Source organism: Homo sapiens, chromosome 12, assembly GCF_000001405.40.
Source record: "Homo sapiens chromosome 12, GRCh38.p14 Primary Assembly".
Lineage (NCBI taxonomy): Eukaryota > Metazoa > Chordata > Mammalia > Primates > Hominidae > Homo > Homo sapiens.
The window spans coordinates 30,591,708-30,609,448 of NC_000012.12; the positions used below are offsets into that span (position 1 = coordinate 30,591,708).

At 40.3% G+C, this 17,741-nt stretch overlaps 1 long non-coding RNA gene across 5 annotated transcripts in view, besides 3 other annotated features; it reads right to left on the minus strand.

Moving 5' to 3' along the window:
- Nucleotides 1-10,453, minus strand: part of LOC105369719 (uncharacterized) — a 39,196-nt gene extending 28,743 nt beyond the window's left edge. For 3 of the 5 annotated variants that reach the window (XR_001749069.1, XR_001749068.2, XR_001749067.1), the window contains exon 1: nucleotides 8,117-10,453. This is a non-coding gene — a long non-coding RNA (uncharacterized LOC105369719). The remainder of the gene's footprint in view (nucleotides 1-8,116) is intronic. The other 2 variants (XR_001749071.1, XR_001749070.1) reach the window with 2 other exon arrangements.
- Nucleotides 8,232-8,401: an enhancer, noted in NCBI's record as "experimental_28131 CRE fragment used in MPRA reporter constructs". NCBI's record gives its function as "activates a minimal promoter by MPRAs in K562 erythroleukemia cells, with activity observed for the non-introgressed 12:30752958 variant allele {active_cell/tissue: K562}" and the evidence as "EXISTENCE:reporter gene assay evidence [ECO:0000049][PMID:34662402]".
- Nucleotides 12,152-12,841: an enhancer, noted in NCBI's record as "H3K27ac-H3K4me1 hESC enhancer chr12:30756793-30757482 (GRCh37/hg19 assembly coordinates)". NCBI's record gives its function as "activates a minimal SCP1, AML or CMV promoter by ChIP-STARR-seq in naive H9 embryonic stem cells {active_cell/tissue: H9 hESC(naive)}" and the evidence as "EXISTENCE:reporter gene assay evidence [ECO:0000049][PMID:30033119]".
- Nucleotides 12,842-13,531: an enhancer, noted in NCBI's record as "H3K27ac-H3K4me1 hESC enhancer chr12:30757483-30758172 (GRCh37/hg19 assembly coordinates)". NCBI's record gives its function as "activates a minimal SCP1, AML or CMV promoter by ChIP-STARR-seq in naive H9 embryonic stem cells {active_cell/tissue: H9 hESC(naive)}" and the evidence as "EXISTENCE:reporter gene assay evidence [ECO:0000049][PMID:30033119]".

The following is a 17,741-nucleotide window of genomic DNA, read 5'->3' on the forward strand; positions in this document are numbered from 1 at the left end:
ATACTACAAACACCTCTACGCAAATAAACTAGAAAATCTAGAAGAAATGGATAAATTCCTCGACACATACACCCTCCCAAGACTAAACCAGGAAGAAGTCAAATCTCTGAATAGACCAATAACAGGCTCTGAAATTGAGGCAATAATCAATAGCTTACCAACCAAAAAAAGTCCAGGACCAGATGGATTCACAGCCGAATTCTACCAGAGGTACAAGGAGGAGCTGGTACCATTCCTTCTGAAACTATTCCAATCAATAGAAAAAGAGGGAATCCTCCCTAATTCATTTTATGAGGCCAGCATCATCATGATACCAAAGCCTGGCAGAGACAAAACCAAAAAAGAGAATTTTAGACCAATATCCTTGATGAACATTGATGCAAAAATCCTCAATAAAATATTGGCAAACCGAATCCAGCAGCACATCAAAAAGCTTATCCACCATGCTCAAGTGGGCTTCATCCCTGGGATGCAAGGCTGGTTCAACATATGCAAATCAATAAATGTAATCCAGCATATAAACAGAACCAAAGACAAAAACCACATGATTATCTCAATAGATGCAGAAAAGGCCTTCGACAAAATTCAACAGCCCTTCATGCTAAAAACTGTCAATAAACTAGGTATCAATAGATGTATCTCAAAATAATAAGAGCTATCTATGACAAACCCACAGCCAATATCATACTGAATGGGCAAAAACTGGAAGCATTCCCTTTGAAAACAGGCACAAGACAGGGATGCCCTCTCTCACCACTCCTATTCAACATAGTGTTGGAAGTTCTGGCCAGGGCAATTAGGCAGGAGAAGGAAATGAAGGGTATTCAATTAGGAAAAGAGGAAGTCAAGTTGTCCCTGTTTGCAGATGACATGATTGTATATCTAGAAAACCCCATTGTCTCAGTCCAAAATCTCCTTAAGCTGATAGGCAACTTCAACAAAGTCTCAGGATACAAAATCAATGTACAAAAATCACAAGCATTCTTATACACCAATAACAGACAAACAGAGGGCCAAATCATGAGTGAACTCCCATTCACAATTGCTTCAAAGAGAATAAAATACCTAGGAATCCAACTTACAAGGGATGTGAAGGACCTCTTCAAGGAGAACTGCAAACCAGTGCTCAATGAAATAAAAAAGGATACAAACAAATGGAAGAACATTCCATGCTCATGGGTAGGAAGAATCAATATCGTGAAAATGGACATATTGCCCAAGGTAATTTATAGATTCAATGCCATCCCCATCAAGCTACCAATGACTTTCTTCACAGAATTGGAAAAAACTACTTTAAAGTTCATATGGAACCAAAAAAAGAGCCCGCATCACCAAGTCAATCCTAAGCCAAAAGAACAAAGCTGGAGGCATCACGCTACCTGACTTCAAACTATACTACAAGGCTACAGTAACCAAAACAGCATGGTACTGGTACCAAAACAGAGATACAGATCAATGGAACAGAACAGAGCCCTCAGAAATAATGCCGCATATCTACAACCATCTGATCTTTGACAAACCTGACAAAAACAAGCAATGAGGAAAGGATTCCCTATTTAATAAATGGTGCTGGGAAAACTGGCTAGCCATATGTAGAAAGCTGAAACTGGATCCCTTCCTTACACCTTATACAAAAATTAATTCAAGATGGATTAAAGACTTACATGTTAGACCTAAAACCATAAAAACCCTAGAAGAAAACCTAGGCAATACCATTCAGGAGATAGGCATGGGCAAGGACTTCATGTCTAAAACACCAAAAGCAATGGCAACAAAAGCCAAAATTGACAAATGGATTCTAATTCAACTAAAGAGCTTCTGCACAGCAAAAGAAACTACCATCAGAGTGAAGAGGCAACCCACAAAATGGGAGAAAATTTTCGCAGCCTACTCATCTGACAAAGGGCTAATATCCAGAATCTACAATGAACTCAAACAAATTTACAAGAAACAAACAAACAACCCCATCAAAAAGTGGGCAAAGGAGATGAACAAACACTTCTCAAAAGAAGACATTTATGCAGACAAAAAACACATGAAAAAATGCTCATCATCACTGGCCATCAGAGAAATGCAAATCAAAACCACAATGAGATACCATCTCACACCAATTAGAATGGCAATCATTAAAAAGTCAGGAAACAACAGGTGCTGGAGAGGATGTAGAGAAATAGGAACACTTTTACACTGTTGGTGGGACTGTAAACTAGTTCAACCATTGTGGAAGTCAGTGTGGCGATTCCTCAGGGATCTAGAACTAGAAATACCATTTGACCCAGCCATCCCATTACTGGGTATATACCCAAAGGATTATAAATCATGCTGCTATAAAGACACATGCACACATATGTTTACTGTGGCACTATTCACAATAGCAAAGACTTGGAACCAAGCCAAATGTCCATCAATGATAGACTGGATTAAGAAAATGTGGCACATATACACCATGGAATACTATGCAGCCATAAAAAATGATAAGTTCACGTCCTTTGTAGGGACATGGATGAAACTGGAAACCATCATTCTCAGCAAACTATCGCAAGGACAAAAAACCAAACACCGCATGTTCTCACTCATAGATGGGAATTGAACAATGAGAACACATGGACACAGGAAGGGGAACATCACACTCCGGGGACTGTTGTGGGGTGGGGGGAGGGGGAGGGATAGCATTAGGAGATATACCTAATGCTAAATGATGAGTTAATGGGTGCAGCACACCAACATGGCACGTGTATACATATGTAACAAACCTGCACATTGTGCACATGTACCTGAAAACTTAAAGTATGATAATAATAAAATTTAAAAATAATAATAATAAAATAAATGCAGATAAATACAAAAAAAAAGTACCACAGGACTTCTAGAAAAAAAAAAAAAAAAGAAAATCTTAGTGGTTTGGTGACTATTTGCTAAGGCTGCTAGAATTAAGTACCACAAACTGAGGACTTAAATCACAGAAATGTATTATCTCACAGTTCTGGGGGCTGAAAGTCCAAGGTCAAAGTGTCAGCAGGGCTGTTCCCTCTGAGCGCTGTGAGAGAGAATCTGTTCCATGCTTCTCTCCTTCTCTAGTACTCTCCTGGCACTTTTGGCATTCCTCAGCTTGTAAATTATCACCCCAACTCTGCTTTTATGTTTACATGGCATTCTCCCTGTGTGTGTATCTGTCCTCAGATATACCCTTTACATAAGGACACCAGTCCTATTGGATTAGAACCCACCCCCAATAACCCCATTTTAACTTGATCATCTCTGTGAAGACCCTATTTCCAAACAAGGTCACATTCTAAGGTAGGGTTTACCTTACCTTACCTTAGGGCTTATTGGGGGTTAGGGCTTCAACATATTAATTGGGGGGCAGGGGGAATACAATTCAACCCATAACACATTGACCTTGTGTTACGCAAAGATTTCTCCCAAACTATAAAAAGCACAAACTACAAAAGAAGAAAATTGTTAAACTGGTCATCATCAAAATTAAACACTACTACTATTTGAAAAACACTCTTAAGAAAATGAAAAGTTTTCCAGTCAGAAATGACAACCACAGATGGAATTAATCATACAGATAAATGACTGTATCAGGATTTCATTTGCTTGTTAGTCCACAGAGTTGCCCAGAATCCTACATTTATTCATAAGAGAAAATATTGATTAATTATTGGTCATTCCTCATAAGTGTAGCTGTTGATGTGTGCATCTGATTATTACTTTTTTAATTTTACGAAAATTGTGTAAAATTACATTTTTTTCCAGGGGAGAAAAAAACATCAAACAAAAAGAGAAACATCTAAATCATCCTTTCTGTTCTTTTTCAGTTTTTAACCTCTTTTAGGTTTTCCCCTTGCAGAAACTACAGAAATATTCCCTTAGAATAAAATTGTATATTTGTAAAAAAAAAAAAAATGAAAAGACAAATCAGTTAGACTAGGTAAAAATATTTCCAAACACAAAAAAAGAGCTTGTATCTTGAATATATATTTAAAACTCTTACCCAATAATAACGACTCAATAATAAAAATACAACTCATATTAAGACAAACAACCTAGTGAAAAATGAGCAAAAGATCTGGACACCTCATCAGAGACGATATACAAATGGCCAGCAAGCATGTGAAAAGATGCTCAAAATCATTACTCATCAGGAAAATGCAAACTGAAACTGCAAGGTACCTCTACATACCAATACAATACAAAATCAAAATGATCGACAACACCAAGTGTTGGCAAGGATACGGAGCAACTAGACCCTCATACAGTCACGTTGGAAAACAGTATGGAAGTTTCTAGTAAAAGTAATAATGCATCTACCATACAACACACCAATCCAAATCCTAGGTGTTTACACAAAAGAAACAAATACCTATGTTTACACAGAGGCCTCTACATGAACGTTCATAGCAGCTATATTGAGTAGTCAAAAATAGGAAACAACCCAAATACCCAACTGGAGAACAGATAACCAAATAATGCTATATATGTACAATGGAATATTCCTCAGCAATAAAAAGAATGAATTACTAACACATGTATGCAAAAATATACATATTCCACATTCCATCTATATAGCATTCTAGAAAAGACAGTGCTATAAGCATAGAAAACAGACTAGTGGTTGGCAGGCAGTGGTGGTAATGGATGGGAATGACTGAAAAGGAGTATACAGGAACTCTTGGGGGTGATGGACATTTCTGTATCTTGAGAGTAATGATGGTTAGATGACGATACATTTGCCAGAACTCATTGAACTATACGCTTAAAAAGGAGAATTCATTTTAAGTAAATTATTCTGCAATATTTTTAAAGTGCTACAGTATCCTTCACTCTCTGCAGCATCTACAAGGGTTTCTGGAGTAGCCCAGCCTCACGTGCTAAGCACTGTGAAAATTCCCCAGCACGAAGTCTTTAAGGGCAGGGCTGTAGTTTACTCCTTTCAGCTCATTCCTAGAACCAGCTTCCCAATAGGAACATAATACATACTTGCTGGCTTTATTATTCTGCATCCAATCATTCTATGGGATAAGATAAAAATGACAAACATACAGGTAAGTTTTCCCAACCCTTTTCCCTGTCTTTGTGGGGTATTGGGCAGAACTGCCCTGCATAGGAACTCCACATGGGATGGTGACAAATTGGTCAATTTGATCCTCTTTCTTAATAATAAATATGGATTTATTATTATAAGTTTTCCCAACCCTTAACCCTGATAAATCAGGTTCTGATTCTGAAAACTGTTTAGTTCCTTCCCCTCTTCTCCTTCTGAACAAGATTAAGGTTCTTGGGAGGCAGAATGAGGAAAAGGCACTGAGGAATGAATGACCTATTCTTGTGAAACTGGCAGTGAGGGTAAAGAGGGGCTTCTCTTCCCAGCAGGCATTGAGTGAAGAAGGATCCTACACCTGCAGACTATGGAGAGCCCAGGGCAGAGCTGGGAGAAGTCGGTTAGAGCTGGATGAGGAGTGGGCTGGAGAGAGACCGGGTGTGGGCCAAGGAGAGTGAGAGAGGGTCCTTCTGTGGAAGGAGAGTGACAGGCCTCAGGGTTGCCAGATGCTACAGAATATGAGAAAAAGGAGATCTTAGTAAAACTTGTCTTCAAGTTCTACATTTGATTTGTATATGATCTGAATTCCTGTTTGTACTATTCTTTGAATATGGCCCCACTGCTGAATGAACCATAAAAGTCTTGACTTCAAGATGATCATAAGTGCAACAAACACATATTAAACACTTTCTTGGGCTCCTACATTTTACTGGCCACACAGGGGAGACAAAAATATATAAAAGACAATACTAGAGACACTTGATTAGGTAAGAGATGAAACATAATCAATAACATTTGTAAAGTCATTAACTACTTTCAAAATCTTAGTATGTGTATTAGTCCATTCTTGCTTTGCTATAAAGAAATACCTGAGACTGGGTAATTTACAAAGAAAAGAGATTTAATTGGCTCACAGTTCTGCAGGCTGCATAGGAAGCAAGGTGCCAGCATCTGCTCAGTTTCTGGGAGGCCTCAGGGAGCTTTTACCTGTGGCAGAAGACAATGCAGGAGCAGACACATCACATAGCAAGAGGGGGAGCAAGGGAGAGAGAGGGGGGGTGAGGGGTGCCATACACTTTTACATGACCAGATCTCACAAAAACTCACTCACTATCACAAGGATAGCACCAAGCCATGAGGCATCTGCCCCCATGACCCAAACACCTCCCACCAGGCCCTGGCTCCAGCATTGGGGATTACATTTCAACATGAGATTTGGGTGGGGACAAATATCCAGATTATATTGGTGTACTTGATACATTATGATTTTATTGAACCCTCTTAGGAACTCTAAAGTAGACAGGACAGGCCAATTCATTTTTATCTAAACTAAATGATCTGACAGTGGCTGACATTCAGCTCAGCAGCAAGAGTCAATCTGAATCTAAGTCTTGAGAACTCCAAAGTCTGTTTTCTTTGTTCGTTCTGCAATTTCTTCTCTCTGGCATGAAAAGAAACATATAACACAAGACAGAGACCCAGAAGTCGAGGCCCAGTGTCTGATGTATAAAATGGCTTTTCAGGATTACAAGAGACATGCCCAGTTACTTTCAGTGCAAGGATATCTCACAAAAATTCAAGAGCATATTAAGTCTCAAGTCATCCATCTCCCTTCTGGCTAGACAGTCACTGATATGGTCTGACTGTGTCCCCACCAATATAAATTTGAATTGTACCGCCCAGAACTCCCACATGTTGTGGGAGGGACCCAGGGGGAGGTAATTAAATCATGGGGGCTGGCCTTTCTCGTGCTATTCTCATGATAGTGAATAAGTCTGACGAGATCTGATGGGTTTATCAGGGGTTTCCGCTTTTGCTTCTCTCTCATTTTCTCTTGCAGTCACCAGGTAGGAATGGCCTTTCGCCTCCCACCATGATTCTAAGGCCTCCCCAGCCAGGTGGAACTGTAAGTCCAATTAAACCTCTTTTCTTCCCAGTCTTGGGTATATCTTTATCAGCAGCATGAAAATGGACTAATACAGTCACTCTTGGTCTCAAAGATTTGGCTACACCTCAGAGCTCATGGAACACTGCACATATCTCAGAAAATATTGGAGTGTAACTTCCATTTATGTGTATATCTCAAAATCCATATTTATTATTAAGAAAGAGGATCAAATTGACAAATTTGTCACCATCCCATGTGGTGTTCCTATGCAGGGCAGTTCTGCCCAATACCCGAAAAAGACATCCGGCTTCCGTGGCTTTTTTAGAAGAGGGTTGTAGGTGTGGTAAGCAGTGGTGAGTGGGGAAGGCCTGTGACTTCAACGTGGATGATAAAAGTAATCCTGCTATTGTGCTATCTTTCCTGAAATAACAAATATGCAGTCTTGTTATTTCCTTTGGCACAACGTAATCCTACTACCTCATGCGCTCTCACATTTTTGTCTTAAATCCTTTCAGGCACCATTGGATTTTTACAGTACTTATTTTTAATTCTCCTCACCCACCCACTATTCTTCACTTCATCCTCTCAGCTTTGAGAGTACGTTGATTTAAATTTAGTAGGGGAAGAAAAACATGCATGCTGTTATTTTTTAAATAACACTGAACCCCTTTCAAAGGCAGCATTCATGTGCAGGTATCACTTATCATTAAGGGATTATAAAGGTTCTGAAAGAAATATTTTAAAAACTGACAAAAATTACTTGTGGGTTATATTATTTACTATATTTTAAAGTTTCATGATTTTTCATGAAACTATCTGGTTTGTAACTCAAAGGTTGAGTGTTATCAAGATTTAAAAATACATAATCTTTAATATAGTACAGACAAATGAAAAGTCATGCCTGCTGTATTCAGAGTAATTTAATATAATTCAATTCTGTAACACCATCATAAAGAAGGATTAACAGTTCAACAGCTGCACCGTAAATATAGCAATTATTGTTGTTGAAATTCAGGATTCTATAAACTACCCCCTCACACTGAACTGTATCAAAGCAAATAGAGAACAGTTGTTGACTCAATACAGGATTAGGAAAGGATTTTTGCCATTACATCACTTAGATCATAATCCTTATAATAAAGTCAACCATTGCAGTGTTTGCAAACGATCATAGGACTGACCTTTTTACCTAAGATGAAAGAACCCATCTGGAGAGATCACATTACAGCAGCAGCCTTTGTTGTCACTGTCATATCCCATCTCAGCATTTCATGGTAGGCATTCCCATCTTGTATGAGTCAGTTTATCAGGGCTTACTAGGACTAGATTTAAGGGCTGAGAATTAGTAGGCAACCATTTACATTATGACTTGGAGGATTCCGGAAAGGATTTCCTTCACCAAACATATCTCCTCTATAGTCTATTAGGATATTTGAAATCCAGGCATTCTCAACTTTCTGACATTTGTATCGCTGAACAGGCTAGTTGGTTCTTTTTCCAAAGTACAAGACTTGCAGAGCTGGCCCCTGACATGTGATGAGGCCCCTAATCCAGTCATGTATGCCTTTTCTTTTTCTGCTACACAAAGGTGACATACTTAGAGAAAAAAGGCAAAGGAGCAGAAAAAAATGTGAATAATGACTGAAAACTTACATTTGATGAAAAACATTAATCTTCATGTCCAAGAAGCTCAACATCCAAGAAGCTCAACAATCTCTAAGTAGGATAAACTGAAACAGATCCACACCTAGGCACATCAAAATCAAACAAAGGATAAAGAGAAAACTCTAAATGTAGCAAGAAAAAAACAATTCTTCACCCAAGACCCACAATAAGATTACCACGCTTTTTTTCACAAGATGGTGGATTACACCCTTTTAGCATGCCTCAGTCACTTGGAAATAGCAAGATAGTGCATAAAGATCAACTCTGTGGCATTAATTCAAGAAGGAAAATGGGGATTCACCAGAATCATGAAGGACACCTCAGATCCCAGAGAGGAAAATGTGGGCAAACGGACCCCATGAAAGCATCTGGCTGAGAAAAGTGAGTGAAACCCCAGTATGTGAGACAGGCAGACAGCCTCCCTCTGTTACTTACCTTTCCACTGGGGATCCGAGCAACCCAGGCCAAGGGAGGACACCTTGTTTATCCTAAGCCTTGCAGCCAACCTGGGGAGGAGCTTGGAGATGCTATGAGAAAAAAGACACTGGGGAACACTACAGGCATTTTCCCAGACCTGGGACCAAAAGCAGGATGTGTTTTAACCCAGGGACATAAAGTCAGCCATTCTTTAGCAACCTGGCAGTGTAGCCATGCAGGCATTTTAGTCTCAGGTCAGAGACTGGAGTGCCTGCTCTAGAGTGGCATAGGGGTCTCCAGAGCTAGAACTATGAAAAGTACCTCAGCAGTAGGCACTGGAATTTTGTTATTCCCCATTGCAAGACTAGGATGGGATGGGAGCTGCTACCACTGCAGTTTCTCCTGAGCAGCAAGACTTGCAGCCAGGGTCAGCTTAGTGACTTGGAACCAGTCTGTGCACGCCATTTCTGGGTGCTCCATCCTGTTCCCCTGAGATCATGGTGCAGTGGGGCCCTATCCACTCTAGCCACAGGCAGAAATCCAGGCATTTGGAGTACCTGTTTGCCTGGACCAGCAGCCTGAGCTGCCCCACCCTTCATAGACATAGATCAAGATATAGTGGGGCCTTTTCTGCTCCATGCCCAGGCAGATCTCCAGGCATTTGGAGGACCCATTTGCTTAGTTCAGCAGCTTGAGCCACCTCAACCTTCCTGAGTATAGATTGTGGTGAAACGGGGCTTTCTCTGCTCCACAATAGGCAGATCTCCAGGTATTCAAAGTACCCACTCACCTGGATTGGCATTCTGACCTATGCCATTCTTCCTATATAGAGATCCTGGTGAAGCAGGGACCTCTTCACTCCACACCCAGGCAGATCTCCAGGCACCTGGAGTGCCCCCTCTCCTGGATAAGGAGTTTAGGCCATCCCCCATCCCTGTGCAGTGAACTTGGGGCTAAAGAGGTTTCCCAGCTCCATGCCTAGGTGCACCTCTAGGTACTTGATGGCTGCTCACTGGATTCTCCCTCAGCACTTGTGCTTGTCCCTGGAGCCTGTAGGCAGACTCGCCTGGTCCAGCTCCATCCATCATGTCCCCCACTCACCAGGGGCTAAACAGGAAGCTCAGACCACTGTGCACTCCATGGATCAGCCCATTTACCTGAAGCAACAGGGAGCTTCTCCCAGTAAACAAAGGTCAAGTATATCCCCAAATTGGCTGCAACCAGCTCATACCTATAAGTGCCATCTACAGGCTTAGAGTTTGAAGCGCACAGCCCAGTATAAAAGTTGCCATCAGAAGTGCATACAGCTATAGAAGCAAAGCCAAACAACTCTACTCAACATTCTCTATAGTTATACCTGCTGGGGAGATGGAAAAAAGGAAAGAGAAAGAAAAAATAATAATAATATAGAGAAAGAAATAAAAAGAAAATTTCTACCTGCTAGAAAATAAATACAAAATTATAAGTGTCAGCATCTCAGATGAGAAGGAACCAGGGCAAGAATTCTGGTACCATGAAAAATATGAATGTAGTGATACCATCAAAGGATTGCACTAGCTCTCCAGCAATTGTTGCTAACCAAAATTGAAACTAAGAAATGACAGATAAAGTATTCAAAGCATGGACTAGGAAAAAAAAAAAACGCAATGATATCCAAGACAAGGTTAAAAATCAACACAAAGAAACTTCTAAAGCAATCTCTGGGAAATGAAGGAAGAGATAAACATCCTAAAAAGAAATTAATCAGGGCTAGGTGCGGTGGCTCACGCCTGTAATCCCGGCACTTTGGGAGGCTGAGGTGGGCAGATCAGTTGAGGTTGGGAGTTCGAGGCCAACCTGGCCAACATGGTGAAACCCCATCTCTACTAAAAACACAAAAATTAGCTGGGCGTGGTGGCACACATTTGTAATCCCAGCTACTCAGAAGGCTGAGGCAGGAGAATTGCTTGAACCCAGGAGGCAGAGGTTGCAGTGAGTCGAGATCATGCCACTGTACTCCAGCCTGGGTGACAGAGTGAGTCTCTGTCTCAAAAAAAAAAAAAAACAGAAAGAAAAAGAAAAAGAAAAAAAAAAGAAATCAATCAGACCTTCTAGAATTGAAAAACTCACCTAAGGAGTTTCAAAGTACAATTAAAAGTTTTATCAATAGATTGGGCCAAGCAGAAGAAATTACAGAGCTTGAAGACCAGTCTTTCAAGCTAACCCAGCCAAACAAAAATAAAGGAAAGTGAATGTAAAAAAACGAACAGTCTTCAAGAAATTGTAATTACGTGAAGTGAAAAAACCTACAAATTATTAACATTCTTGAGAGGAAGAAAAAGTAAACAATCTGGTAAATATATTTTTGAGGGAATAACTCAAGAAAAGTTTCCTAATCTTGCTAGAGAGACAGACATCGAGATACAAGAAATCCAGAGAACATCTGCAAGATACTATATAAAACAACATCACCAAGGCATATAGTCACCAGACTGTCCAAAGTGAACACTAAAGAAAAAATCTTAAAGGCAGCTAGCAAAAAAAAAGGTCAGATCACATACAAAGGGAACTCCATTAGGCTAACAGCAGACATCTTAGCAGAAACCTTATAAGTCAGGAGAGATTGGGGGCCTATTTTTAGCATTCTTTAAATTGCCAAAGCAATCCTAAGCAGAAGGAACAAAGCCAGAGGTATCACATTACCTGATTTCAAACTATACTATAAGGCTACAGTAACCAAAACAGCATGGTATTGGTACAAAAACAGACACCTTAGACCAATGGAACAGAATAAAGAATGCAGAAATAAAGCCACACACCTACAGCCATCTGCTCTTCAACAAAGTTGACAAAAACAAGCAAAAGAGAAAAGACTCCCTATTCAATAAATTGTGCAGGATAGTTGGCTGGCCACATGCAGGAGAATAAAACATGATCCCTACCCGTCACCATATACAAAAGTTAACTCAAGATTAATTAGAGATTTAAATGTAAGACCTCAAACTATAAAAATCCTAGAAGAAAACCTAGGAAACATCAGGCTTGGGAAATAAATTACAACTAAGACCACAAAAGCAACTGCAACCAAAAAATTAAAAAGCAGGAACTAATAAAACTAAAGAGCATAGTAAAAGAAACTATCAGTCAATTGCTAGCAGGATGGCCGAATAGGAACAGCTCCGGTCTGCAGCTCCCAACGAGATTGATGCAGATGGCAGGTGATTTCTGCATTTCCAACTGAGGTACCTAGTTCATCTCACTGGGACTGGTTGGACAACCACAGAGGGCAAGCCAAAGCAGGGTGGGGCGTTGCCTCATCCGGGAAGTGCAAGGGGTTGGGGGATTTTTCTCCCCTACCCAAGGGAAGCCTTACGGAACTGAATCCAAGGAACAATGCACACTCCAGCCCAGATATTGCCCTTGTCCCACGGTCTTTGCAACCTGCAGACCAGGAGATTCCCTTCGGTGCCTACCCCACCAGGGCCCTGTGTTTCAAGCACAAAACTGGGCGGCCGTTTGGGCAGACACAGAAGTAGCTGCAGGAGTTGTTGTTGTTGTTTTTTTCCCATACCCCAGTGGTGCCTGGAACGCCAGTGAGACAGAGCCGTTCATTCCCCTGGAAAGGGGTGCTGAAGCCCCAGGAAGCCAAGTGGTCTGGATCGGCGGGTCCCACCCCCATGGAGCCCAGCAAACTAAGATCCACTGGCTGGAAATTCTCGCTGCCAGCACAGCAGCAGTCTGAGATTGACCTGGGATGCTCGAACTTGGTGGGGGGAGGGGTGTCCGCCATTGCTGAGGCTTGAGTAGGCAGTTTTTTGCTCACACTGTAAACAAAGAAGCCAGGAAGTTTGAACTGGGTGGAGCCCACTGCAGCTCAGCAAGGCTGCTGTGGCCAGACTGCCAGATTTCTCCTGTCTGAGCAGGGCATCTCTGAAAAAAAGGCAGCAGCCCCAGTCAGGGATTTATAGATAAAACCCCCATCTCCCTGGGACAGAGCACCTGGAAGGGAAAGCTTTGGGTGCAGCTTCATTAGACTTAAACATCCCTGCCTGACAGCTCTGAAGAGAGCAGCGGACCTCCCAGCACAGCATTTGAGCTCTGCTAAGGGTCAGACTGCCTCCTCAAGTGGGTCCCTGACCCCCCGTGTATCCTGACTGGGAGACATCTCCCAGTAGGGGCCGACAGACACCTCGTACAGGAGAGCTCTGGCTGGCATCTGGCAGGTGCCCCTCTGGGACAAAGCTTCCAGAGGAAAAACAGGCATCAATCTTGGCTGTTCTGCAGCCTTCGCTGGTGATACCCAGTCAAACACGGTCTGGAGTGCACCTCCAGCAAACTCCAGCAGACCTGCAGCAGAGGCCTGTTAGAAGGAAAACTAATAAACAGAAAGGAATAGAACTCTCCACCCCAAATCAACAGAATATACATTCTTCTCAGCACCTCATCGTACTTATTCTAAAATTGACCACATAATTGGAAGTAAAACCCTCCTCAGCAAATGAAAAATCATAACAGTCTCTCAGACCACAGAGCAATCCAATTAGAACTCAGGATTAAGAAACTCACTCAAAACTGCACAACTACATGGAAACTGAACAACCTGCTCCTGAATGACTACCAGGTAAATAATGAAATGAAGGCAGAAATAAAGATATTATTTGAAACCGATGAGAACGAAGACACAACGTACCAGAATCTCTGGGACACATTTAAAGCAGTGTGTAGAGGAAAATTTAAACACTAAAAGCCCACAAGAGAAAGCAGGAAAGATCTAAAATTGACACCCTAACATCACAATTAAAAGAAGTAGAGAAGTAACAGCAAATAAATTCAAAAGCTAGCAGAAGACAAGAAATAACTAAGGTCAGAGCAGAACTGAAAGCGATAGAGACATGAAAAACCCTTTGAAAAATCAATGAATCCAGGAGCTGTTTTTTTTTTTTTTAAAGATCAACAAAATAGATAGACTGCTAGCCAGACTAATAAAGAAGAAAAGAGAGAAGAATCAAATAGATGCAATAAAAAATAATACAGGGGATATCACCACTGATTCCACAGAAATACAAACTACCATGAGAGAATACTATAAACACCTCTACGCAAATAAACTAGAAAACCTAGAAGAAATGGATAAATTCCTGGACACATACAACTTCCCAAGTCTAAACCAGGAAGAAGTCGAATCCTTCAATAGACCAATAACAAGTTCTGAAATTGAGGCAGTAATTAATAGCCTACCAATCAAAAAAAGTCCAGGAACAGACAGATTCACAGGTAAATTTTACCAGAGGTATAAAAAGGAGGTGGTACCATTCCTTCTGAAATTATTCCAAACAATAGAAAAAGAGGGAATCCTCCCTAACTCATTTTATGAGGCCAGCATCATCCTGATGCCAAAACCTGGCAGACACAACAAAAAAGGAAAATTTCAGGCCAGTGTCCCTGATGAACATTGATGCAAAAATCCTCAATAAAATACTGGCAAACTGAATCCAGCAGCACATCAAAAAGCTTATCCACCACAATCAGGTTGGCTTCATACCTGAGATGCAAATCAACATATGCAAATCAATAAATGTAATCCATCACATAAACAGAACCAGTGACAAAAACCACATGATTATCTCAATAGATGCAGAAAAGGCCTTCGACAAAATTCAACAGCCCTTCATGCTAAAAACTGTCAATAAACTAGGTATCAATAGATGTATCTCAAAATAATAAGAGCTATTTATGACAAACCCATAGCCAATAGCATACTGAATGGGCAAAAACTGGAAGCATTCCCTTTGAAAACTGGCACAAAACAAGGATGCCCTCTCTCACCACTCCTATTCAACATAGTATTGGAAGTTCTGGTCGGGGCAATCAGCAAGAGAAAGAAAGAAAGCATATTCAGACGGGAAGAGAGGAGGTCAAGTTGTCTCTGTTTGCAGAAGACATGATTGTATATTTAGAAAACCCCATTATCTCAGCCCAAAATCTCATTAAGCTGATAAACAACTTCAGCAAAGTCTCAGGATACAAAATCAATGTGCAAAAATCACAAGCATTCCTATACACCAATAACAGACGAATAGCCAAATCATGAGTGAACTCCCATTCACACTTGCCACTAAGAGAATAAGATACATAGGAATACAACTTACAAGGGATGTGAAGAACCTCTTCAAGGAGAACTACAAACCACTGCTCAACAAAATAAGAGAGGACACAAACAAATGGAAAAACATTTCACACTCATGGATAGCAAGAATCAGTATTGTCAAAATGGCCATACTGCCAAAAGTAATTTATAGATTCAATGCTATCCCCATCAAGCTACCATTGACTTCCTTCACAAAATTTGAAAAAGCTACTTTAAACATCATATGGAACCAAAAAAGAGCCCGCATAGCCAAGACAATCCTAAGCAAAAAGAACAAAGCTGGAGGCATCACACTACCTGACTTCAAAATATACTACAAGGCTACAGTAACCAAAACAGCATGATACTGGTACCAAAACAGATATATAGACCAATGGAACAGAACAGAGGCCTCAGAAATAACACCACACATTTACAACCATCTGATCTTTGACAAATCTGATACAAATAAGCAATGGGAAAAAGATTCCCTATTTAATAAATGGTGCTGGGAAAACTGGCTAGCCATATGCAGAAAACTGAAACTGGACCCCTTCCTTACACCTTAAACAAAAATCAACTCAAGATGGATTAAAGACTTAAACATAAGACCTAAAACCACAAAAACCCTAGAAGAAAACCTGGGCAATACCATTCAGGACATAGGCATGGGCAAGGACTTCATATCTAAAACACCAAAAGCAATGGCAACAAAATCCAAAATTGACAAATGGGATCTAATTAAACTAAAGAGCTTCTGCACAGCAAAAGAAACTATCATTAGAGTGAACAGGCAACCTACAAAATGGTAGAAAATTTTTGCAATCTATCCATATGAGAAAGGGCTAATATCCAGAATCTACAAAGAACTTAAACACATTTACAAGAAAAAAAACAAACAACCCCATTAAAAAGTGGGCAAAGGATATGAACAGACACTTCTCAAAAGAAGACATTTATGCAGCCAACAAACATACGAAAAAATGCTCATCATCACTGGTCATTAGAGAAATGCAAATCAAAACTACAATGAGATGCCATCTAACACCAGTTAGAATGGCAATCATTAAAAAGTCAGGAAACAACAGTTGCTGGAGAGGATGTGGAGAAATAGGAATGCTTTTATACTGTTGGTGGGAGTGTAAATTAGTTCAACCATTGTGGAATTCAGTGAGGGAATTCTTAAGGATCTAGAACTAGAAATACCATTTGACTCAGCAATCCGATTACTGGGTATATACCCAAAGGATTATAAATCATTCTACTATAAAGACACACGCACACGTATGTTTATTGTGGCACTATTCACAATAGCAAAGACTTGGAACCAACCCAAATGTCCATCAATGATAGACTGGATTGAGAAAATGTGGCACACATACACCTTGGAATATTATGCAGCCATAAAAAAAGATGAGTTCATGTCCTTTGCAGGGACATGATGAAGCTGGAAACCATCATTCTCAACAAACTATCACAAGAACAGAAAACCAAACACTACATGTTCTCACTCATAAGTGGGAGTTGAACAAGGAGAACACATGGACACAGGGCAGGGAACATCACCCACCAGGGACTCTCAGGGGGTAGGGAGCTAGGGGAGGGATAGCATTATGATAAATACCTAATGTAGGTGATGGGTTGATGCCTGCAGCAAACCACCATGACACGTTTACACATATGTAACAAAACTGCATGTTCTGCACATGTACCCCAGAACTTAAAATATTAAACACACACACACACACAAAACAAAACAAAAGAAAAAGAAAAAGAAACTGTCAACACAATAAACAACCTACAGAATGGGAGAAAATAGTCACAAATATTTGTCAGAAAAAAAATCTGACAAAGATCCAATATCCAGAATCTATAAGGAACTTAAACAACCCAACAAGCAAAAAAACAAACAACCCTGTTAACAATTGGGCAAAAGACATGAACAGACACTTCTCAAAACAGACATACAAGCAGCTAACACATATACAAAAAATGTTGCACATCACTAATTATCTGTGAAGTGCAAATGAAAACCACAGTGAGATAACATCTCACGCCAGTCAGAATGGCTATTATGAAAATGTTCAAAAACAACAGATACTGGCAAGACCATGGAGAAAAGGGAATGCGTATACACTGTTGGTGGGAATGTAAATTAGTTCAACCACTGTGGAAAGCTGTTTGGAGATTTCTCAAAGAACTTAAAACAGAACTGCCATTTGATTCAGCAATCCTATTACTGGGTATATATATTCAAAAGAAAACAAGGCACTCACATGTTCATCACAGCAGTATTCATAATAGGAAAGACATGGAATCAAACTAGGTGCCCACCAACAGTGGATTGAACAAAGAAAATGTAGTACATATACACCATAGAATATTACACAGCCATAAAAAGAATGAAATCACATCCTTTGCAGCAACATGAACAGAGCTGGAGACCATAATCCTAAGCGAATTAATGCCAAAAGCAATTTCAACAAAAACAAAAATTGACAAATGAGATCTAATTAAACTACAGAGCTTCTGCACAGCAAAAGAAACTATCAACAGAGTAAACAGACAACCTACAGGATGGGAACAAATCTTTGCAAACTATGCATCTGAAAAAGGTC